The sequence below is a fragment of the Homo sapiens genome, chromosome 5 (assembly GCF_000001405.40).
Source record: "Homo sapiens chromosome 5, GRCh38.p14 Primary Assembly".
Taxonomy (NCBI): domain Eukaryota; kingdom Metazoa; phylum Chordata; class Mammalia; order Primates; family Hominidae; genus Homo; species Homo sapiens.
Genome location: NC_000005.10, coordinates 1,957,658 through 1,982,272, shown reverse-complemented (window position 1 = coordinate 1,982,272; position 24,615 = coordinate 1,957,658). Strand labels below are relative to the sequence as shown.

The 24,615-nt window shown below is 45.4% G+C and overlaps 1 protein-coding gene and 1 long non-coding RNA gene across 3 annotated transcripts in view, besides 3 other annotated features; both read right to left on the bottom strand.

Annotated features, from left to right (window-relative positions):
- Positions 1 to 24,615, bottom strand: part of LOC105374618 (uncharacterized) — a 188,354-nt gene that overhangs the window by 137,114 nt on the left and 26,625 nt on the right. The window lies entirely within an intron of this gene.
- Positions 8,095 to 8,594: an enhancer, noted in NCBI's record as "H3K4me1 hESC enhancer chr5:1973793-1974292 (GRCh37/hg19 assembly coordinates)". NCBI's record gives its function as "activates a minimal SCP1, AML or CMV promoter by ChIP-STARR-seq in primed H9 embryonic stem cells {active_cell/tissue: H9 hESC(primed)}" and the evidence as "EXISTENCE:reporter gene assay evidence [ECO:0000049][PMID:30033119]".
- Positions 17,668 to 18,168: an enhancer, noted in NCBI's record as "H3K4me1 hESC enhancer chr5:1964219-1964719 (GRCh37/hg19 assembly coordinates)". NCBI's record gives its function as "activates a minimal SCP1, AML or CMV promoter by ChIP-STARR-seq in naive H9 embryonic stem cells {active_cell/tissue: H9 hESC(naive)}" and the evidence as "EXISTENCE:reporter gene assay evidence [ECO:0000049][PMID:30033119]".
- Positions 19,821 to 20,559: an enhancer, noted in NCBI's record as "H3K27ac-H3K4me1 hESC enhancer chr5:1961828-1962566 (GRCh37/hg19 assembly coordinates)". NCBI's record gives its function as "activates a minimal SCP1, AML or CMV promoter by ChIP-STARR-seq in primed H9 embryonic stem cells {active_cell/tissue: H9 hESC(primed)}" and the evidence as "EXISTENCE:reporter gene assay evidence [ECO:0000049][PMID:30033119]".
- LOC124901165 (keratin-associated protein 5-5-like) overlaps positions 23,099 to 24,615 on the bottom strand; it is a 31,421-nt gene continuing 29,904 nt past the window's right edge. Inside the window, exons 4-5 of one of the 2 annotated variants that reach the window (XM_047418003.1) lie at positions 23,447 to 23,691; positions 23,099 to 23,326 (exon numbers count right to left, since the gene is read on the bottom strand). The gene's annotated coding sequence lies outside the window, so the exon portion shown is untranslated. Of the gene's footprint in view, positions 23,692 to 24,615 lie in introns of both variants that reach the window. The other variant, XM_047418002.1, reaches the window with a different exon arrangement.

Sequence of the window (24,615 nt, the reverse complement as noted above, 5' to 3'; positions counted from 1 at the left end):
GGTTTTCTTATGGTCGGTCTAATGTTCCGTATGCAATCAGGAACTCTTCCTAATTTCTGCAAAGATCGTGTTAAGTAACTATTTAAGTATCTTTCAATAATGCCATAAAACTAACATACTCAGTTGAACAGTAAAGTTATCAAGTGACACCTTACTAAAATGAGGATTGGCAGAATTTTGGCTAAGAATAAGGTTTAATTATACTACTAGGAAAAAAGTCCATGAATGTAATTCAATTTTCTATAATGTACTTGTTCCCTGCATTAGTGTTGAAACTCAGATGAAACATTTATTTTAAAGAACTGGCTTTCTATATGTGCTTTCTCCTTTACTAAATCAAAAGTTTTGCAGGAAAATATTTACATTTTGCTTTACCTTACTCTCCAACAGTGTCTGATATACTGTTGATATATGAATATTTTATGAATAAGCAAAATAATCAATAATTGAATGAATAAAGACATTGATCTCTTTAAAACATCGTGTTATATTACTGTTGATGAACTTCAAAAATTTTAAGATAAATCAGAATAAATAAGTCTCTTTTCTTTAATAAAATAGTCAATAGAATGAATAATTTTGAAATCCACTGTAACTGCTGACCTCAAGGAAATCAAAGGCTTATTCTGCACTTGGCATCAATTCAAAATGTGCACTGCTAAATGTTTTTGATATAGAGATTGTTCTATTCCATAGTGTTGTGTTTTTCAATTTCAAACTTAAGTTGTTAACTTTTTTTCTTATGGCATAAGTATCTGTTAATAAGCATTTGTTGAATAAATGACAACACTTTTCTTTTTTTTTTTTTTTTTTTTTTGAGACAGAGTCTCACTCTCTCGCCCAGGCTGGAGTGCAGTGGCGTGATCTCCGCTCACTGCAAGCTCCGCCTCCCGGGTTCACGCCATTCTCCTGCCTCAGCCTCTCGAGTAGCTGGGACTACAGGCACCCGCCACCACGCCCGGTTAATTTTTTGTGTTTTTAGTAGAGATGCGGTTTCACCACGTTAGCCAGGATGGTCTCGATCTCCTGACCTCGTGATCTGCCCAACACTTTTCTATATAAAAAATAAAATTTCAAAATGACCCACATTCACAGACAGTTTTCAATTTTCTTTTCCTTGGCAGTCTTGCTCCATATATATATTCTGATAGAGATATATATATATATATATATATGCTGATATATATATATTCTGATATATATATATGCTGACATATATATATTCTGATATATATATATCCCTATATATATCTCCATATATATATATCTCTCTCCATATATATATCTCCATATATATATCTCTCTCCATATATATATCTCCATATATATACACTGTATTAAAGAGTTGCTATTATAGGATATATGTGATGTAATCTGTTTTTCCCCAAAAACATAATCATTACATTTTGCTACAGCATATATAATAATATGTAAAATAGCTATGGAATACTAATTGAGTACATATTCCACAGTATTTTAACCATATATCATTGTTGGGCATTTAGATTATTTCTAATTGTTCATTGTTAAAAATAACATTCTAGTTAAGATCTTTGTACATATGATGTTTGTTACATAGGTCTTTGTATTAGTCAGGGTTCTCTAGAGGAACAGAACTAACAGGATAGATGTATATATGAAGGAGAGTTTATTAAGAAGTACTTACTCACATGACCACAGGTGAAGTCTAACAATAGGCCATCTGCAAGTTGAGGAGCAGGGAAGCCAGTCTGAATCCCAAAACCTCAAAAGTAGGGAAGTCAACAGTGCAAGCTTCGGTCTGTGGCCAAAGGCCCAAGAGCCCCTGGCAAACCACTGGTGTCTAAGTCCAAGAGTCCAAAAGCTAAAGAACTTGGAGTCTGATTGTCCAAGGGCAGGAAGCATCCAGCACTAGAGAAAGATGAAAGCCAGAAGACTGAAGTCTACTTTTTCCATCTTCTCCTGCCTACTTTATTCTAGCTTCAGCAGCAGCTGATTAGATGGTGCCCACCCAGGTTAAGGGTGGGTCTGCCTCTCCCAGTCCACTGACTCAAACGTTAATCTTCTTCGTCAACATCCTCACAGACACACCCAGGAACAATACTTGGCATCTTTCAATCCAATCAAGTTGACACTCAATATTAACCATCACAGCCTTTTTCCTTCCTTTTTTATTGAAGTGAAATTATTTTATTCTTTTCAAAGTACTCAATTTAGTGGCTTTTATACATTCACAATGTCATGCAACAAACACCACAAATTCCAGAACATTTACATCACCTCCAAAAGTCATCCCGAATCCATTAAGCAGTTGCTCCTCACTTCCCCTACCTCCAAGCTTTGGCACCCACTAATCTGCTTTCTGATTCTATGGATTTGCCTTTTCTGGACATTTCTATGAATAGAATCATGCATCATGTTTTCAACATTCATGGTGCGGTGGCATTGTCAGTGCTTCCTTTTTCTTTGTGGCTGAACAATATTCCATTGCATGCATAGATAAGTTTGTGCATCCATTTATTTACCCGCTGATGGATATTTGGGTTCTTCCTACTTTGGGCTACTATAAGTTGTGCTGTGGTGAACATTCTTGTACAAGTTTTTGTTTGAACATAAGTTCTCAGTTCCTCTGAGCAGACACCTAGGAGTCGGGTCATTAGATCAAATGATGATTCCATGTTTAACTTTTGGAGGAGCAGCTCGACCGTGCTCCAAAGGGCTCCCACAACTTATAGTCCCAGCTAAAACACCATATGAGGGCTCCAATACAAATACCTATTTCCTTACTATTAGTATATCCATTCCGTTGAGTTTGAAGTGGTATCTCATCGTGGTTTTGATTTGCATTTCCCTAACGACTAATGACATTGAGTGCTTGTTAGCCATTTGTATACCTCCTTTGGAGAACTACCTATGAAAGTTCTTTGCCCACTTTTAAATTGGGTTTTTGGTCTTTTTGTTGTTGAGTTTTGTTTTGTGTATATTCTGGATACTAAACCCTTATTTTATATATAATATGGTTTGGCTGTGTCCCCACCCTGGGTGGGGGTAATTTAATCATGGGGGCGGTTTCCCCCATACTGTTCTCATGGCAGTGAATAAGTCTCAAGAGATATGATGGTTTTATGAATGGGAGTTCCCCTGCACATGCTGTCTCTTCCTGGTTGCTGTGTAAGACCTCTTTGCTCTTCCTTCATCTTCCACCATGACTGTGAGGCCTCCCGAGTCATGTGGAACTATGAGTCCATTGAACCTCTTTCCTTTATAAATTACCCAGTCTCAGGTATGTCATTATTAGCAGTGTGAGAACGGACTAATACATATTATTTACAAATATTTTCTCTCATTTGATAGGTTATGTTTTCACCTTCTTAGTAGTGTCCTTTGATTCACAAAAGCTTTTTATTTTGGTGAAGTCCAAATTATCCATTGTTTTGTGGTTTTGACTATGCTTTCAGTGTTACATTTAAGAAACCATAGTCTGATCCAAGGTCACAAAAATACACCTATGTTTTCCTATAACAGTTTCATATTTTTAGCACTTATATTTAAGTCTTTGTTCTATTTTAAGTTGACTTCTTATTTGGTGTGAGATAGGGATACACAATTGTTGTTTTGCATATGGATATCCAGTTGTTCAGTACTTTATTATCATTATTATTATTATTATGAGCCTACATCAGGCTTTGCCCCAGCACTATTTATTAAAAAGTCTGTTTTCCCCCAATGAATGGTCTTAGCACCATTGTCAAAAATCAATTGGTCATACATGTATGAGTTTATTTCTAGAATCTCAATTCTATTTCCTTGCTCTGTATGTCTATCTTGTGTCAGTACCATACTGTTTTAATTACTGTAGCTGTGTAGTAAGCTTTGAAATTGGGAAGTGTTAGCCCTCCAATTTTGTTCTCTTTTTATACATTGTTTTAGTTATTCATGGTTCCTTGCAATTCCATACACATTTTGGAGTTAGTTTTTCCATTTCTGGAAAAAAAAAAGCCCATTGAAATTTTAATAGTGATCAATTGGTCACTTTGGGGAATATTGTCATCTTTACAACATTAAGTCTCCAATCCATGAATATAGGATGTCCTTCCACTTATTGAAGTCTGTTTTACTTTCTTTCAACAATATTTTATAGTTTTGAGTGTATAAGCCTTGCATCTCCTACGCTGAATTTATTACTGAGCACTTTATTTTTGATGTTACTGTAAACAGAATTGTTTTTATAATTTCCTTTCTGGATTGTTCATTGCTAATAGTATAGAAATAAAACTGATTTAGGTATGTTGATCATGCAACCTTTCTGAACTCATTTATTAGTTCTAATAGGTTTTCACAGATTTCTTTAGGGGTTTCTACATGCAAGATTATGCGATCTGTGAGTAGAGAAAGTTTCGTTTCCTCCTTTCCAATCTGGATGCCTTTTATTTCTTTTTCTTGCCTAATTGCCCTGGCAAGAACTCTAGTACAATGTTGAATAGAAGTGGTGAGAATAAACACTCATCTTTCTCCTGACCTTAGGAGTTATGTTTTCAGGCTTCCAACACTGAGTGTGATGTTAGCTGTGGATTTTTCATATACTGCTTTTATTACATTGAAGTAATGACGGAGAAAATGATGCCGTGGTCTTAGGTCTCTGGTAAACAGTTGTCTAAACTCTTAAAAAGCAGAATTTTTTTTAATTGTCAATATGTCATTAACTGTGAGAAAAAAATCCTGTGCTAGATTTAGATAATTTAGGTGTTAAAACATGTATCACTTGACTTCCCCAAATGTCCCTCCAAAAGATGAGTCCACAACAGGACTAACTCTGATGCTCCACAATGGTGCGCCAATTTAAGAACCTTTCTAGCAAATGAGGCCCTAAGAAGACATAGGTCATCTCAGGAGCCAAGAAACATTCACTGAGTATCTTAGAAAGATTGTTTTAGAAAGCAGTCTAGACTCCAGTCTTATCAATCCCAATCCTTAAATGCTGAACAGATAACTCATTGCTTTATTCATTTACTCATTCACCCAACAAATGTTAGTCAATCTCCAAGTAGTATCTCAGGCACTGAGGATCCAAAGGGAAATGAATAGGCCCCCACCCCAAGGTGCCCAGTGTTCTTGGGGGCGAGCTTGAAGCGCACTGAGATGCAATCTGAAATGAGTGAGAGAAACAGCAACAATGCAGCTTATGGCACTCACAGATTCCAGGGGAGGAGTGGGTAGCCAGCCATTCACTCACTCACTCAGCAAGTACTGCTACGGTCAGTATAATAAAGCTCAAGATGCTACTGTCAACCAGTGGGGTGCATGGACCAATAAACAGGTGGCAACCGGTATGATCAATCAGTGGCAGAGCACAAGGAGCCCCCTTTTTGTACTATTTAGTTTTTTGGAGATCAGGGAAAGAGAATTGGAGGAATCACCAAAAAATAAATGTGAAGGCCATTGAGGGAACTGAGAACACGTGAATTAGTAGGGCGTTGGCAAACCAATGGTCAGGACATCTCTAGGATAAAATTCCATTCCCAGCCACTTGAGAAAAGCTAGGGATTTAAATACCAAGCATGAGACGTGTTCTCACAGGACCCAGAGCAGCCTGTTGAGATGGGGGCCAGGAGGGATCATCTCTACTTTGCAAATGAAAACCAGAAATCAGAAAACAAATCCAAGGGAATCGATCCAGCTCTTAGATGTGTCTTCAACACCAATTTTACCTCCACCACTCATAATCTCCCTCCACCAAGCCCTTGTTTGAAACGTGGCCATTGCAGTGGTAAGAATTGGGTAGTGCTGGATCCTGACACGATTCACCCAATCTCCTCCTCACTCTATCACCCAGCCAGGAGCGGAGGAGAAAGACAAGTCACCACCCTACTCAATGACCGCCAGTGCTTCTCAAGCTTATCTTGGGGATAGTGGTTGATCTCTCAGCTTGAAGTACATGGTGGGTTCCGTGAACGACACACGTTTCTTTTATTCTTTACTGGTTGCATTTCGACTGTCTAATTTATTTTAGTACCACTTTAATTTCTTTCAGGCCCTGGGCCTGTGCTAATCTGCGTTTCCAAAGTTAGAAGACATTTATTTATGAACTGACAAATTGTTATTATTCTTTTTCTTTCTTTTGGGTTCTTAAAGAACCATAACTAGAGGCAGAAGTTAGTTTGAAGAGCATATTCCCAGAGCACCCCCTGCTGTCAAAGAAAAAAAAATCAACAGCCACCTATGGGCCAGGAGTGAAGTCTTGAGGCACAGAGTGAAAATGAGACCTTGGGAAAATTAACTTGCATTCAAGAACCTAGAAAAGGAGATGTTATCACAGCAAGCATGTTCTTTCTATGACGACTTAACCTTCAATCTTGATCCTCCACTGTTTTACTGTCTGATTGATAACCTGATAGACTTGCTCAATGTATTTATTTAGTCTTTGCTAATAAAGTATTAAGTGCACTTTAAATAAGACAACTTTTCCCCATGCTTGCATATCCTTTGTACTGGTGAGAGTAGGTGAACTGCTAGAACAAACAGACACAAAACGTTCATGATTTAACATGCAAAACTTTACTTCTCTCCCCATTCCCAGAGCATTGTGTTGGAAGAGGTGAGGGTCTCGGCTCCACGCAGTCATTTGGGGCCCCTGGGTCTGTGGCACTGCCATCTTTAACGCATGGCATCCAAATCTACCATGGACTAGAACAGTAAAAAGAACAGATTATTTAAGCTGGAGGTAGCTTCCATCTCGCCCACCAACACAGGCTTGGGCAGAACTCACAGGTGCAAGGAGACCTTGGGCTGTAATTTGGCTGTGTGCCCAGGAAAAGGAGAAACACGGCATTAGAGAGCAACGACATTCTCTGCCAGTTTCCTGTTGTAAAACTCTTTCAAATTTCCACGCCTTCTCTTAGGTGATCTAATCCAAATCTGAACTGGCCCACTTGTCCATAAACATGGCAAAAACTTAGAAGCTGCTGAGCCCTGCCCACCCAGCTCCTCTTCTTCCTCTACCAAGAAGCTAAAGAGACACAGGTCTGAGGGTGGAAACACAGTGATGGCTTTGGTGGTGGTTTCTGGAAGGGGTTCTTGTCTGAGGTTCAGGGCACCTTCCCCTTCCTGATTCTCTCTGGCGCTGGGGTGCATGCCTTGCCTAGGATGCTTGATAGGAGTTCCAGCTGCAAAGCACATTGCTACAGCGCATGCTGACTGTGTGTACCTGAAACCGTGGTTTCCTGGCGCTCTTTGAGAAAGAAGCTTCCAGCAAAGAAGTTTCAGGTCCCAAGTTCATGGGGATGATTGGATCCCACCCCTTTCACTGAAGCCCACTGGACTGTAAGCTGTCAGAAGGCAGGTGCTGGTCTCCTGAGCTTCTTTGCGTGGGGCTGCATGGCAGCTGAGACGTCTGGAGCGGAGCTAATCGTTAATGGGTGAAGGTGGCGTGTACTCCCAGGACGCCCCGGGGAGCCCATTAAGCTGCTTCATTGGCTGCTTTTACTTGGATATGTCAGGTCTCATCCATCTATTCCAACTCTGCTCACTACATCCAGGGGCTGAGAAATCGCTCAATCGCCAGACGTCTTCCATTGCTCATTCTTGCACAATTTGCCCCGTGATTATATCCAGCGATGCAAATAGCCAAGCTCTGAGACAGGAAAGTTCTGAATGTGGTCGAGGGCGCTTGACTTGGGACTCTGCTTCTCTTGTAAATTTATTGTTTTTATGGAGATTGTATTAAAATATTAGAACATAATTCAAAGGGGCAAGGCTCACTAAAACAACTGATAAGTAGGGAGATAGCCATGTTTTCTGACCTTCAAATTGTTATCACAAAATATTTTAGATTTAACTTTCCTAAAAATCTGCATGAACTTAAAAGTTCCTGAAGAGGTTGCTTGGTAAAAGACTATTAGGAGGAAAGCCAGACCGTGCCTGAAGAGTAAAAACTAAAACTCCGTGAATCATCTCACAGGCAGCAAGACCCTGCTTGCTTAACGATGAACTTAACGAAGAACCCGGCCACCCTAACCAACACCCCAAGAATACAAAGGAAGAATTCTACCTTTTTTGAGTGAGTGTTTTTTCTAATGTCCTAAGGATACCTCATTAGGTGCTTTGTAGTATCTGATAGGACAGATACTGCAGTGTTTTTTCTTGCTGTCTTTCCAGAATTCCCTGGAGATATCGTGAAGTTAATTACAAACATAATTTCAAAAATTACATGATCTGGGCACTGCCCCTCCCCTCAGCTGAAAGCCAGTGTGGACCAGCCTTCTTTGGCTGGTGTAGACGGTGTTCAAGTCACAACTAAATCGCGCCTTCCTCCTCCGCCTCTGCTCTCCTTCCCTCCTTGTTTAATTGCAGCGTTGCTGCCAAACCGCTTTTGAAATATACCTCCACTCTCAGCACGTCCCAGATGAAGCAGGTTTAATGAATTGGTTTGCAGGGAGACTTGAATGAGTCACCAGCACCTGGGGCCCCAGGGATGCTGCATCAGATAATCACTCATTGTTGCTTTCTGATGCCAGAAAGAAACCAAGAAAACAGTTCACATTCAGAAGAAAGGATGGCTCGGCAGATGGAAACAGGCGCTGGCGGAGCTGTCGGCCACTCACAACGGGCAGAGCCCAGCCCGCGGGAGCTGGACCGGGATCAGATGTTACACACTGTGTGGGTGCTGCTTTCTTCCGCCAAAGAGGCGAGACCAAGACGGCCCAGAAAAATATCGATTATCTCTCCAAGTCTAAAGCCAGCTAATGGCTGCATTCACACAGTGAACTCCTGGACCCGCTTAAAGCCAGCAGCTGCTGATTGAATTGGGTCGCTGGTAACCTCGTCCCTAGCCAGCTTAGAGCAAGAACACAGAAGTAGGAAGAGGTTGGCTCTATTTAATACAAAAACAGAACCATCAACACACCTGAAGAAATATGGTTTTGAGGGGGAAAAATATTCAATCAGCTGTCCAGCAACAGATAGAGGGTATAAATGTATCCTTGGTATTTTGTTCTTTCAATGGGACTAACGGGGCTGACCTTTAATGCCCCTACACACAGCTGGCTAACTGTGCTAAAAATAATAATAATAATAAAATAAAGGCACGAGGATGGAAGGAAAGACAGAAAAGGAAGGACAGGAAGGAAGGAGGAAGGAGGGAGGGAGGGCAAGAGAAAGGAAGAAGAGAAGAAGGAAGGGAGAAGGAAGGAATGAAGCAGAGAACAAAAAGTAAAAACACAAAAATCTTTGTCCCCCAGGATATATTTTACCCTCTCTGACAACAAGAACAATTTCCTCCCTCAATGGTCATAAAGCCTAGAGAGAATTTTCAAGGCTGACCCCTTGGTGGGCACATATGATCCACATAGTTTAGCCACTGCCCCTCCTTCCTGAGCTGTCAACAATCATCACTGCCCTTCTCCCTGGCCCCTTGAAGGCAATGTCATGCTTGGCCAAGGGGAGAACCTAGGAGCTGTCCCCACAGTCTGTGCCATAAGACCAGGGTTGCCTTCAAGGACCCGTGGGCTTTGCAGTCACACGAGGCCCCAGGCACAGAAGGGGCTCCCACCTAGTTTAATACTCTGTCATTGCCGTCTTCAAACTCTTAACGACTTTTGAATGAGGAGTCCTTCTTTTGTCCTCTGGGTTCCCCCAGTCCATAACTGGTCCTGGGTCGGCACCACAAGCTCCAGCTCCCCACAAGCTCCAGTTCCCCGCAAGCTCCAGCTCCCTGCAAGCTCCAGCTCCCCGCAAGCTCCAGCTCCCCGCAAGCTCCAGTTCCCCACAAGCTCCAGCTCCCCGCAAGCTCCAGTTCTCCTCAAGCTCCAGCTCCCCGCAAGCTCCCATTCTCCACAAGCTCCAGCTCCCTGCAAGTTCCAGCTCCCCCAAGCTCCAGCTCCCCACAAGCTCCAGCTCCCCGCAAGCTCCAGTTCTCCACAAGCTCCAGCTCCCCGCAAGCTCCAGCTCCCCGCAAGCTCCAGCTCCCCGCAAGCTCCAGCTCCCCGCAAGCTCCAGCTCTCCACAAGCTCCAGCTCCCCGCAAGCTCCAGCTCCCCGCAAGCTCCAGCTCCCCGCAAGCTCCAGCTCCATCGCACACCCTCTTCTTCCTCCGCTAGCATCAGCACCGCTTCCAGGCCGCCCTGTGGTCAGCATGGCCCCCGGAGCCCCCGAGCAGGTAGACCCAGACAGCAAGGCTGGCAGAGAAGCCTGGCAAGTCCCCCCACCATGCCATTGCTGTCTAGAGGGTCCTGAGTTGCCTCGTGGTCATCTGAACCCCCTTCAGTTTTAGTCATATTGTGATGTATAATATTTCATGGTAGATACAATGATTTCATGAACCACGAAAATAGAAAACTCTTCCAAAATGTTGTTCCATTGAGTGTTTCAGCTTATAGATAATGTAACCTTATTAGATTGGGGTTTCAGATTCCCTTTGTGTTTTGTTTTATTTTTTGAGATGGAGTTTTGCTCTGTCACCCAGGCTGGAGTGCAGTGGTGCGATCTCGGTTTACTGCAACCTCCACCTCCTGGGTTCAAGCGATTCTCCTGCCTCAGCCTCTTGAGTAGCTGGGATTACAGATGCATGCCACCATACCAGACTAATTTTTGTATTTTTAGTAGACAAGGTTTCACCATGTTGGCCAGGCTGGTCTCAAACTGCTGACCTCAAGTGATCTGCCTGCCTTGACCTTCCAAAGTGCTGGGATTACAGGCATAAGCCACTGCGCCGGGCCTCAGATTCCCTTTGGTATCCAAATCACATCATTTGCCTAAATGCTTCATCCATGGTGCAGTTGCCGGATTGTTTTGCTTTTATAGGGGAAAAAACCCACAATTTTCTTTATTTTTTTTTTTTTTTTTTTTTTTTTTTTTTTTATTATACTCTAAGTTTTAGGGTACATGTGCACATTGTGCAGGTTAGTTACATATGTATACATGTGCCATGCTGGTGCGCTGCACCCACTAATGTGTCATCTAGCATTAGGTATATCTCCCAATGCTATCCCTCCCCCCTCCCCCGACCCCACCACAGTCCCCAGAGTGTGATATTCCCCTTCCTGTGTCCATGTGATCTCATTGTTCAATTCCCACCTATGAGTGAGAATATGCGGTGTTTGGTTTTTTGTTCTTGCGATAGTTTACTGAGAATGATGGTTTCCAATTTCATCCATGTCCCTACAAAGGATATGAACTCATCATTTTTTATGGCTGCATAGTATTCCATGGTGTATATGTGCCACATTTTCTTAATCCAGTCTATCATTGTTGGACATTTGGGTTGGTTCCAAGTCTTTGCTATTGTGAATAGTGCCGCAATAAACATACGTGTGCATGTGTCTTTATAGCAGCATGATTTATACTCATTTGGGTATATACCCAGTAATGGGATGGCTGGGTCAAATGGTATTTCTAGTTCTAGATCCCTGAGGAATCGCCACACTGACTTCCACAATGGTTGAACTAGTTTACAGTCCCACCAACAGTGTAAAAGTGTTCCTATTTCTCCGCATCCTCTCCAGCACCTGTTGTTTCCTGACTTTTTAATGATTGCCATTCTAAATGGTGTGAGATGATATCTCATAGTGGTTTTGATTTGCATTTCTCTGATGGCCAGTGATGATGAGCATTTCTTCATGTGTTTTTTGGCTGCATAAATGTCTTCTTTTGAGAAGTGTCTGTTCATGTCCTTCGCCCACTTTTTGATGGGGTTGTTTGTTTTTTTCTTGTAAATTTGTTTGAGTTCATTGTAGATTCTGGATATTAGCCCTTTGTCAGATGAGTAGGTTGCAAAAATTTTCTCCCATGTTGTAGGTTGCCTGTTCACTCTGATGGTAGTTTCTTTTGCTGTGCAGAAGCTCTTTAGTTTAATTAGATCCCATTTGTCAATTTTGTCTTTTGTTGCCATTGCTTTTGGTGTTTTAGACATGAAGTCCTTGCCCACGCCTATGTCCTGAATGGTAATGCCTAGGTTTTCTTCTAGGGTTTTTATGGTTTTAGGTTTAACGTTTAAATCTTTAATCCATCTTGAATTGATTTTTGTATAAGGTGTAAGGAAGGGATCCAGTTTCAGCTTTCTACATATGGCTAGCCAGTTTTCCCAGCACCATTTATTAAATAGGGAATCCTTTCCCCATTGCTTGTTTTTCTCAGGTTTGTCAAAGATCAGATAGTTGTAGATATGCGGCATTATTTCTGAGGGCTCTGTTCTGTTCCATTGATCTATATCTCTGTTTTGGTACCAGTACCATGCTGTTTTGGTTACTGTAGCCTTGTAGTATAGTTTGAAGTCAGGTAGTGTGATGCCTCCAGCTTTGTTCTTTTGGCTTAGGATTGACTTGGCAATGCGGGCTCTTTTTTGGTTCCATATGAACTTTAAAGTAGTTTTTTCCAATTCTGTGAAGAAAGTCATTGGTAGCTTGATGGGGATGGCATTGAATCTGTAAATTACCTTGGGCAGTATGGCCATTTTCACGATATTGATTCTTCCTACCCATGAGCATGGAATGTTCTTCCATTTGTTTGTCTCCTCTTTTATTTCCTTGAGCAGTGGTTTGTAGTTCTCCTTGAAGAGGTCCTTCACATCCCTTGTAAGTTGGATTCCTAGGTATTTTATTCTCTTTGAAGCAATTGTGAATGGGAGTTCACCCATGATTTGGCTCTCTGTTTGTCTGTTGTTGGTGTATAAGAATGCTTGTGATTTTTGTACATTGATTTTGTATCCTGAGACTTTGCTGAAGTTGCTTATCAGCTTAAGGAGATTTTGGGCTGAGACAATGGGGTTTTCTAGATAAACAATCATGTCGTCTGCAAACAGGGACAATTTGACTTCCTCTTTTCCTAATTGAATACCCTTTATTTCCTTCTCCTGCCTGATTGCCCTGGCCAGAACTTCCAACACTATGTTGAATAGGAGCGGTGAGAGAGGGCATCCCTGTCTTGTGCCGGTTTTCAAAGGGAATGCTTCCAGTTTTTGCCCATTCAGTATGATATTGGCTGTGGGTTTGTCATAGATAGCTCTTATTATTTTGAAATACGTCCCATCAATACCTAATTTATTGAGAGTTTTTAGCATGAAGGGTTGTTGAATTTTGTCAAAGGCTTTTTCTGCATCTATTGAGATAATCATGTGGTTTTTGTCTTTGGCTCTGTTTATATGCTGGATTACATTTATTGATTTGCGTATATTGAACCAGCCTTGCATCCCAGGGATGAAGCCCACTTGATCATGGTGGATAAGCTTTTTGATGTGCTGCTGGATTCGGTTTGCCAGTATTTTATTGAGGATTTTTGCATCAATGTTCATCAAGGATATTGGTCTAAAATTCTCTTTTTTGGTTGTGTCTCTGCCCGGCTTTGGTATCAGAATGATGCTGGCCTCATAAAATGAGTTAGGGAGGATTCCCTCTTTTTCTATTGATTGGAATAGTTTCAGAAGGAATGGTACCAGTTCCTCCTTGTACCTCTGGTAGAATTCGGCTGTGAATCCATCTGGTCCTGGACTCTTTTTGGTTGGTAAACTATTGATTATTGCCACAATTTCAGAGCCTGTTATTGGTCGATTCAGAGATTCAACTTCTTCCTGGTTTAGTCTTGGGAGAGTGTATGTGTCGAGGAATGTATCCATTTCTTCTAGATTTTCTAGTTTATTTGCGTAGAGGTGTTTGTAGTATTCTCTGATGGTAGTTTGTATTTCTGTGTGTAGAGGGAAATTTATAGCACTAAATGCCTACAAGAGAAAGCAGGAAAGATCCAAAATTGACACCCTAACATCACAATTAAAAGAACTAGAAAAGCAAGAGCAAACACATTCAAAAGCTAGCAGAAGGCAAGAAATAACTAAAATCAGAGCAGAACTGAAGGAAATAGAGACACAAAAAACCCTTCAAAAAATCAATGAATCCAGGAGCTGGTTTTTTGAAAGGATCAACAAAATTGATAGACCGCTAGCAAGACTAATAAAGAAAAAAAGAGAGAAGAATCAAATAGACACAATAAAAAATGATAAAGGGGATATCACCACAATTTTCTTTATTTAAGGACCCAAGGCTGTGACCCCATGGAGCAGAATTTAAGGGATAAAATTTACCTTCAATTTACCCAAAGGACTTTATGCGGAGTATGGCAACCAGCTGTTCTGCCTCCGTCTTTTGGAAAGATCAGGAGGAATGCATTTAAACTGAAAATGTGAGGAAGCTTCCTGCCAACAGCCACAACAGCATCATGACAATTCACCCGTGGGAAACTATGCGATTTCCTCCTGCAGAGATCCCCACTGTTCCGGGCAGAGTAGACAGCTCCCAGGCTGCATTTTGCAGATGTGCTTCTTGTCTGTGGGTTTAAAAACTGCCCTGACTTACAAACTTCATCATCTCTCACAGCACCACAGCCAGCACCAAAAGACCGGGAAAGGCAGGCTCAGCAAGATGAGTGGGAAGCCCCGCTTCAGAATCTGCCTTCTCACCTGGGGCCCCGTGCTCAGGAAAGGCCATCTGGGCTTTTTTTGGTTTGGATTTGAATCTCTGCCAGCTTGCCATCTTTGGACAGCAGACCTGGCACAGCCACTTCCTTCACTGCTGAGCTGCCACTGCTCTTAGTACCTTAGTACCTCTCAGCTGGCATTGGTCAAAAGACACAGAGCATGAGCCTCATGTGTATTTTTAAATTTTCTAAAGTCACAAGAAAAACGGAACGGAATGGGCATGGTGGCTCATACCTATAATCCTAGCACTTTGAGAGGCCAAGGCAGGAGGATCACTTGAGGCCAGGAGTTGGAAACCAGCCTGGACAACATAGCGAGACCCCATCTCTACAAAAAAAAAAAAAAAATACAAAAATTAGCAGAGCATGGTGGTGCATGCCTGTGGTCCCAGCTACTCAGAACACTGAGGTGGGAGGATGGCTTGAGCCTGGGAGGTCGAGGCTGCAGCGAGCCAAGATCACACCACTGTGCTCCAGCCTGGGTGACCCAGCAAGACCTTGCCTCAAAACAAAAACAAAAGCAAACAAAACAAGGGAAAGAAATGTTCATATTATTTTAGTATGTCCAAGATGTGATGATTTCAGCACACAATGAAGAGTAAACTACTCTGTGGAACTCCACGTTCTGTTCTTGCACTAAGTCTCCAACACCTGCGTGTAGATTTTCAGTCTGAGTCAGTGCACTTTGAGCACCCGATGGCCGTGTGTGGCCAGCAGCTGCCCATCTCCCAGCATAACTCCAGACAGAATTGAATGCCCTGGTATGGTCCTATTTTAAATATAAAACTATTATTTATAGTATCTGAAAACATTTCTCAGTTAATGGATTTATTTCCTTCTGTTTTTTTCCTTTGTCTTCACTGAATTTGTAAAGGAGAAAAGGGGAAACAGCACAGCAGGAGCCAAGCCTGCAGGCTGAGTCTACCAGAAATGAATGTCAAATTGGAGATGCATTAACAACCCCCGCAGTACACTTCGCCCTGCCTTTCCCTGGGCTCTCTTGGACTCTATGTGGAGAAGAGACACGTGGCTTAAAAGGTAGAGGTATGGGCTTGGGGAGGTAAGGAGGGGAATTAAGTAGCTGTGGATATAATTTGGAGATACCTGAGGCGGTGTGCAGAAAGCCCGCTTGGTTCCCAGACGCAGACTCCCGGGGCGAGGTGCTTGTCCAAGAGATGGCCGGAGCTGGTGCTCTCAGGGGAGCAAGGAGAGAAGCCGGGGTGGAGGCAAAGCTAAGCCAGGAGGTGTCTGTGCTGCAGACCAGAGCCCTCCAGACACCAAGGGACACTCAGAGCTGTGTGCCCCAATTTGAGCTGCATCAGAACCTCCTGCAGGGCTCGTTAAACACATGCTGCTGGGCCATACCCCAGAGCTCTAAATCTATAGGTCAGGGATGAGGCTGGAGAATTTGCGTCTCCAACAACTTCCCAGGAGGGACGGTGCTACTGGCCGGGTTTGCTTTGAGAACCCTGCTTCAGTCTAGAGCAGGAACAACGCCACAAAATCAGCCCTTGTGCAGTCAAGGGGTGTGTACAGTCAAGCCAGTGTGTGTCTGCACCAACCAGTCCCTGGATGTGTGTGCAGGGGTGCTCGACCCACACCCCCCAGTCCCAGCAGCACCTGTCAGCCCAGCAGATTTCATAATTCCACTGGAAGTGGACAAGCGCACGGTCATTAGGACACTCCTGGCCCCGGGGACTGAGCACCCCAGCAAGAGAGAGCATCTGGGTGGGTCACCAGCTCCCCCATCCCCCTGCCCAGCTCTCTGTCAGCGGAGGCAGCAGCTGGTGAAAATGATATCACCAGGCAGCTGTGGCCCACAGGATGCAACCTCCTCTGCAGCAGATTCGACCTACCCTCTTCTTCACTGCAGATTTCTTCAACACTGGCTGAGCCACCGACACCCAAACAGGGAAAATGTTGCTGAAGCAAAATGCCCCATTACCAGTGTTTCCAAGTCATCATTTTTAACTTTTGCAGACCGATAAATATGATCATGCATGCATGACAACGTTTTGGTCAACAGTGGACCATATATATGGTTTTGCTCCCATAAGATTATAACAGAGCTGAGAGTCTCCTGTAGCCTGGCCGCAGACCCGTGGTCACGTTGCAGTGTGACACACTCCTTATGTGTTTGTGGCGACGCTGGTGTCAATGAGTCTACTGCACTTCCAGGCATGTAAAAGTCTAGCACATACAATTAGGTAGCGTACATGATTATAAATGGCTGTTACTAGCTAATGCATTTACTGTACTATACTTTGTATTGTTTTGTGTACTTCCTCTACTTGTATTTTTAAAAGTTAACTATAAACAGCTGCAGGCAGGTCCTTCAGGAGGTGTCCTGAAGAAGCCAGCATCATCCCAGGAGATGATGGCTCCATGCCTGTCATTGCCCCTGAAGACCTTCCAGTGGGACAGAGAGGGAGGGGGAAGACAGTGACGTGCATGGTCCTGACCCTGCGTAGGCCTAGGCTAAGGTGTGTGTCCCTTAGGTTTTAATGAAAAATGTTTAAAAAGTAAAACCAAAAAATTAAAAGTTTTAAAAACAGGAAAAGTTGATAGAATGAAGATATAAATTAAAAAATATTTTTGTACCAATGTACGATGCACTCATCTTTTAAACTGTGTTATTACAAGAGTCAAAAAGTTATAAAAAGTTTATAAAGTAAAAAAAAGTTACAGTAAGATAAGATTAATTTATTATTGAAGAAAGATGTTGTAAATAGATTCAGTGTAGCCTAAGTGTCCAGTGCTCCTAAAGCCTCCCCGGTGCTGTGCAGCCATGTCCTAGGCCTTCACTTTCATGCTCCACCCACTCACTGACTCGCCCAGAGCCACTGCCTCCCACAAGCCCCACGGATGCTCAGTGTCCTATGCGGTGCACCATCTTTTTTTTTTTTTTTTTGAGATGGAGTCTTGCTTTGTCACCCAGGCTGAAGTGCAGCGGCGCGATCTCGGCAAACTGCAAGCTCCGCCTCCCAGGTTCATGCCACTCTCCTGCCTCAGCCTCCCAAGTAGCTGGGACTACAGGCGCTCGCCACCACACCCGGCTAATTTTTTTGTATTTTTAGTAAAGATGGGGTTCCAGTGTGTTAGCCAGAATGGTCTCGATCTCCTGGCCTTGTGATCTGCCAGCCTCGGCCTCCCAAAGTGCTGGGATTACAGGCGTGAGCCACTGCGCCCGGCCACAGTGCACCATCTTTTAACTTTTATGCCATATTTTCACCGTGGCTTTCCCATGTGCAGATGTGTAGACACCCATACTCTCACCACTGTGTAACAGCTGCCTGCAGTTTCAGCACAGTCCCCTCCTGCACAGACCTGTGCCCCGGGAGCGATGGTGGCACCGTACAGCCCAGGTGTGGAGAAGGCTGTGCCACCTCAGTCTGTGTAAGGGAACACTCTGCAATGTTCACACGATGACAAAGTCACATTTCTCAGAACGCATTCTGGTCCTGTGGCTGCACCATGAAGATGCATCCCACAAACAAGGTCTTCCCCAGCTCCGTGAGGTCCAGCTGCGGCCTCAGCAGGGAAGCCCTCCGGGCATTCGGGTTCTGAACCAGAATGCGCAGGGCTCTGATGCCCCAATAGGGTCAGGAGAAGCCAAGGACCTCCTGGGGATCCACGTGTGGCTGACAGAGGGGATGCAACAGCCTGTGCCCCGAGCTCCTGGGCATCTGCAGGTCCTTCAGGGTCAGTCAGTGGGATTTGGAAGTGATAGTAGGAGCCAGAAGCAGCCTCCCAGGACACCAGAGTCAGGAGGCCCCCTAGGTCTGCGGTTCTTGGGGTAGCTCCCTGTGGCCTGTCATGGGAAAGCCCTTCAGACTGAAATCTGCCGGGTCTGCCAAGGGCAGCAGGAGGCAGGGCACGGCGTGGCTGCCCGGTCTGCCTTCCTGCCACAGGCTGAGCACACATTTTTATATTCTGCCTGCAAGATTTTAAGAGGAAATTAATACTATGTTTGCAAATTAGGTCACCCAAGACATAAGTGGTAACAACCGGCAATCCTATAAAATAAAAGGTGAGACAATGGCTCTGTTCACACCCGCCATGGGAATCCCTTTAAGATCAGTGTCCATGAGCCTTACCTCGCAACTCTTCCAAGATCATAACCAAAGCCTGTTACAGCGGCGGAGGATAACAGTCAGACAGGACCAAGCTGAAGGTACTCTTTATCACCCTGACTTCAAGTAACTGTGAAGCACACCTCTCACCTGAACCTCGCCAACGAGACACACTGTGGATGAGAAGGCAGTGCCGCATGACAGGGAACGCAGGGGCTTTGGGTGACGTGGGGCCGGGTGACATGGGATGAGGTGACGTGGGCTGAGGCCACCTGCCTCTCAGCTGCTGGGTGCCTCCCTCACCAGGTGGCTGCCTTGCTTGGGCTCAGACCAGACTCACGGTTCTCAAGCCCCCATACAGCTTCTGTTTATAGGGGTTCTTCTATCTGCGTTTTCTGCTATTAAAACTGAGAAAAAAACTTATGTCTTTATTGATTGACTCACCTGAAAACCACTGTGATAAATCTGAACGTCCTAACCTATGGCTTCTATCACATATGCTCCTGTTTCTTTTGTCTACCATTTGTCACTCTAACCATCATTCTCAGCTTGTGGACCGGACATGAGCAGGCTGTGGGCCACGGCTCACCAACCCCTGCCCTCGGGCTGTGCCATCCGGTGTGGTGAGCACTGGCTTTGTGTGGCCATAGGGCACCCAAAATGTGGCCGGTTCAAATTTAGATGTGCAGTAAGTGTGAAATACACTCCGGATCTCCAAGAATTAGTACAGAAAGGACTGTGAACTATCTCACTACATGTTGATCGTAGCAACATTTTGAAATGATTGTATTTTAGATACACTGGGTTAAATGAATCATAGTGTTTCATATAATTCCATATAACCCATTTCCCTGTTTGTTTTACTTTTTTGGTTTGACTGTTCTAACACGTCCACTTATCCGTGTGGCTCCCATGGTATTTCTATGAGACAGGGCTGACTGCCACGCCTTCATACTGGCCCGGAGGCCCTACACTCCTCTAGGACAGAATGTACACCCATAGAAAGTGGCTTGCGAAACAAAGGTGTAAAACACATCACTCAGAAAAGACTAGAAAAAACTACCTCTGTCTGTAAGCCTGCACCCCTGTTAACACAAATCCACCTGTCAAGAACCAAGATATTCCCCATTTACCAGGTAATAGTCCTAAAATATTAAATGTTTTATTTTAAGGAAAGATGGAATATGTTTCACTGGAAAGGAAAAGGCGAGGGAAGGAGGAAAGGGGAGGGGAGGAGCACACCGCCGTGTGGGGGCCGCCGTTGCACCTGTGGCCGGCTGGGCGCACACTCTGGGCCTGCATCAATTGTAGGGGATGGGAAGTCGTTAGCAGTGAGCAGAGAAATGACCTCAATTCTGCTGCATGTTTGAGCAAATCGCCACAACGTCACGTTGGTTTTCCTGTGTTACCCTTTAGTGGCCTGGCAGGATGACAGATTTCAGTCCCTAAAACGCTGCCGACAGCAGATGTGTCTCTCTGCCAGGTGGGCGCCTTCTAGGAAACAAACTTTTCATGAAACAAATCAAAGGGAAGTCTTCAACGTCCCTTTCCTCCGCTAGCATCTACCGTAACACTGTGGCGACCACCATGACACGAGTCCCCAGAAACCAGCCCCTGCCCTAATGCCGCTCGTGCTTGGTAGGGGACACAGACAGGAAGAGAACAAACATGGAAACAGACGGTGCTGCCTTGGATGGAGACAAATATGGGGGGAAACGGCCCTGGGTCAGGACGCAGAGGTGCAGCAGGGGGTGCTCTGTGGAGAGGGCGTCAGTGGAGGCCTGGTGAGGAGGGGGCATTTGAGCCTCAGTGATGTGATGGGGCATGAAGGTGGACCAGACAGCCGTCCAGGGCCAAGAGACAGCCTTGAAAATGCTGCCTACTGAGGGTCATGGGTCTAGGGATGGGCACGGGTCCAGGGGGTGTCGTGGGGAGGACAGGGAAGGCAGGGCCTTACCATGAGCCTTAAAAGCTCACCCTTGGGGATGGAGCTGGCGTCTGTCTAAGGAAGATGAAGCCACAAGTTTAACCAACAGGGACGACAGGACACTGGCCTCTCTCACATGCCAAGAGGAGGCGTCACTGCCCCAAGGGTGCTGAAGAGGTGCAGGCTGCTGACCAGGTCCCGAATCCGAGTGACCAGGACGTGGCTCCACCTGGAGGTCCCCAGAGGCTCTGGGCTGTGGCCTGAAGGAGGCTCTCAGCTTCCTCCCCTGAAGAATCACCCACATTGGTGCTTTTGGTTCCTGTCATCTGCCAGGGCCCCTCGAGGCCAGGTGTCACTTTTGGTGACTCTGGAACCGTCCACGCCAGCCCAGAGTGGGCAGCTCAGCCCCACCAGCCCCCGCATCGCCTTCTCTGCCTCCCACAGCTGCTTCTGCTTCCAGTGAGCACTTCTCAGTGGAGTCTCCAAGCACCAAGAGCTTCTCCCACCAGGGAAGAGAAATACTCTGGACATGCCGGAGGGTGTGTGCGAGTGTGGTGTGTGTGTGCGCATGTGTGTGTTCAGGTAAGTGTATGTGTTTGCATGTGTGAGAGTGTAGCATGTGTGTGCATGTGTGTGATCAGGTGCGTTGTGTGTGCTTGTGTGTGTGGCATGTGTGTGCATGTGTTCTGGTGTGTGTGCGTGTGTTTCAGTGTGCCTGTGTGTGTGGTGTGTGCATGTGTGTGTTCCAGTATATGTGTGTGTGAGCATGGAGCATGTGCCTGTGTTCTGGTGTGCGTGGCATGTGTGTATCCATATGTGTGTTCCGGTGTGTGTGTGTGCACTTGTGTGTGAGTGTGGTGTGTGTGTTCTGGTGTGTGTGCACTTGTGTACGTGTGAGTGTGGCATGTGTGTTCAGGTGTGTGTGTGTGTGGCATGCGTATGCATGTCTGTGTTCTGGTGTGTGTGTGTGTGCATGTGTGTGCATGTGTGTGTTTCAGTGTGTGTGCTTCTGTGGTGTGTGTACATGTATGTGTTCCAGTATGTGTTTATGTGGCATGTGTGCCTGTGTGTGTGTGTGCTTGTGTGTGTGTAGCATGTGTGTGTGCATGTGTGTTTTGGGGTGTGTGTGCTTGTGTGTAGGTGTGGTGTGTGTGTTCTGATGTGTGTATGCTTATCTGTGTGTGGCATGAGTGTGTGCATATGTGTGTTCCAGTGTGTGCTTGTGAGTGTGGCATGTGTGTTCCGGTGTGGCTGTGTGTGCTTGTGCACGTGAGTGGAGCATGTGTGCGTGCATGTGCATATTCAGGTATGTGTGCTTGTGTACGTGTGAGTGTGGCATGTGTGCACGTGCATGTTGAGGTGTGTGTGACAGTATGGTGTGTGTGCACATGCATGTGTTTGTGTGTGTGCCCTGGCAGCTGGCTTCCCTGCACCTCCGTGTGGAGTGGCAGCTGCCACAGGAAGGTTTGTCAGCAGCATTTGGGTGGATGCCTCCCGCTGGCTCTGAGGCCCTGGGGGCACTTCTAAACAGGCACCATGTCCTGGGAAACCCAACATCCAACCCCCTTCCCTTTGTGAAACAAAGACCAAACTCAGGACACATAAAGCTAAGTTGCACGCAGGCTTTTAGCCGAGTACTGCTGAGAAGTGCAGTCGGTCCCCACCACTCAGGGTGGCTACATACTAGAGTCTGCAGACGGCGAGCCGACGGACACCCCTGCTCCTGGGGAAACGCAGGGCTCAGCTCTGGTCACAGCATTTCATCCATGGATCAGCACACAGCCTTGTGCTTCGTGTTTCTGTTTAGACACCTTGTTCACTATGCAGTGTTGATTCATCACTCGTGCTTGAGGGAAGCTTCTCAGACACGTGTTCTCCATGAGGCACACCACAGCCCCTTGCACGTGGGAACACTACAGCACTTCCACACTGTGCTCGCCCTCTTAAGCAGTGAGATCACCAGCAAAATGCACACAAATTCAAAAAATACGGCACTCAACAGACCACAGAAAGGACACCGTTTACAGGATGAGCCGTAACGGGAAGGCAGAGCTGGGCCTTTGTTCAGCCCCAGGCGGGGCTGTGCATGTCAGGCGACTCCGATTTTTTATCGCTCTGTGCACACCTACAATCTAAGACAGTGCATGAATGCTGATTTTGACGCTACAAATAAATTTTAGTGAGTAGGAGAATTTGCAATGTAGAATCTATGAATGAAGACGACTGACTCATTTGAGCACGTCAGGGTGACAGGGAACATATGAGCGGGACACCAGGATGAAACCTGGGACTGGGGATGCCCTCGGTAGAATGCAGATGACAGCAGCCTCCTGTGGGGCTTTGGGAAGGATGCCCCTCCAGACCAAGCAGCATCCCAGGGCCTCACAAGAAAGGGGTGTGGAGAGAACACAGCCTCTAACAACCTTGTTTCTGAGGTCATCAGTGCTGTGGCTCCCAGCCCAGGGGGCTCAGGATCCTAAACAACAGCTGGGATGCACGCGTGATTTTCAATAAGGTAAAAGGCCTATGAGAGAACTGCACATCCACCAGGACATGGTCGGCATAACAGAGTCATCTGAAACTCTGTGGATGACATGCAGTCACCTGTGTTGTTATGCTGAGCAACAAGTTTTACAAATAAGTAGGTATTTCTCTTACTATAATTTGTAAATAATGTGTTTGTTCTTTAATAAAGACCAGTTTCAGAATGCAAACTCCTACTACAGAATACACATGGGCAAGTGCCTTCATCGCAGGGATCAACGAGGAGGAAAACATTGGGAATCTCTGATGTCACTCCCCAGGTTCCCTGTTACGAGTTGAGATTGGGCAGTTGGTTTTTAGGATTTCTTCATACGGCTCTAAGAAAACGGACTCTCCCCACAGTCTTTCTGTAAGAAAGCATTTGCTGAGTGGAAAGCCAGCCCCCTCCCAGGCACCTTCATTAGGTGCACGTGGCCCCAGGCCTCCCTCCGAAGATGCGCCCAGCTGGGCAAGGTGATAGTCTATACCTGTTTCTGTAAGACAAGTTGCCAAGGAGAATCTAGTTAGATTTTAACTAGAAAAGGTGCTCCTTCTAGTAATCACCTCACCCTTAGCAAGGTCTGTGCAGGTGGAACCTCCGAGGGGTCCTCGCGCATGGATGGCAGCCATTGCTCCAGGTCTTCAGTGCAGCCGGAGGGGGATGGGGACACTGTCCCCACGAGAGGTGTGCATTATCTCCGGGCCATATCCATCTTCTCATCCCTTTGGGCTGCTATAATGGAATACACAGACTATGTAGCTTGTCAACAACGATTCGCAGTTCCGGAGGCTGGAAGTTCAAGACCAACTTGCCAGCAGATTGGATGTCTGATGAGGACCTGCGTCCTGGTCCACAGATGGAATCTGCTTGCTGTGTCCTTACCAGGAGGAGAGAGGGCAGGGAGCCCATTGGAGCCTCCGTCACAAGGGCAGCAACCCCATCATGAAGCCCCACCCTCAAGACCCAATCAACTCCCAAGGCCCCACCTCACATCATCACCCTGGGGCTGAGGAGTCAAACACATACATTTTGGAGGACACGGCAATCCTGATGACCACCCCACTCCAATCAACTCAGTTGAAAGGGGTCCAGGAGGGTGCACAGCCCCTGAGAGCTGGGTGGCGACGAGCCCCTCTGCCTTTGACACCTTTGCAGAGGCTGCTGAGCCCTGCCAGAGGGGTCCCTGCCCCAAAGGTGTGCAACACCACACATGTGTGATCTCCAAACTCATCTGTGTCATTGGGGGTCTCAAGCCCTTTTCTAGGCACTGAGGCAGCTTTGTCCTCTAAAACATCTATATCCACCTCTCACTATTCTTGAATGCCAGCCTCACCAATCCCTCCATCTCTGAATTTGGGAGCCTACCTTTTTCTCTGGACACCAGCATGATGGGGCTGATCAGGACAGATTGAGGGTTACCCACAGAACACAGTCATGGAGGGATGGCCTGGGAGCCAGTAGGAACATTCCAGGGTTGTCAAAACCCAAATGTTACAAAAGATCAGTTCTCCCCAAATTATTCTACAGATCCCACAGGGTCCTAATAAATAACTCAGTGGGACTTGCGTGAGTGGGTGGAAATTGACAAGCTGTTTCTAAAATTTATATGGAAACGCAAAGGGCAAAATATAGCCAAGACAAATATGAGGAAAGAGG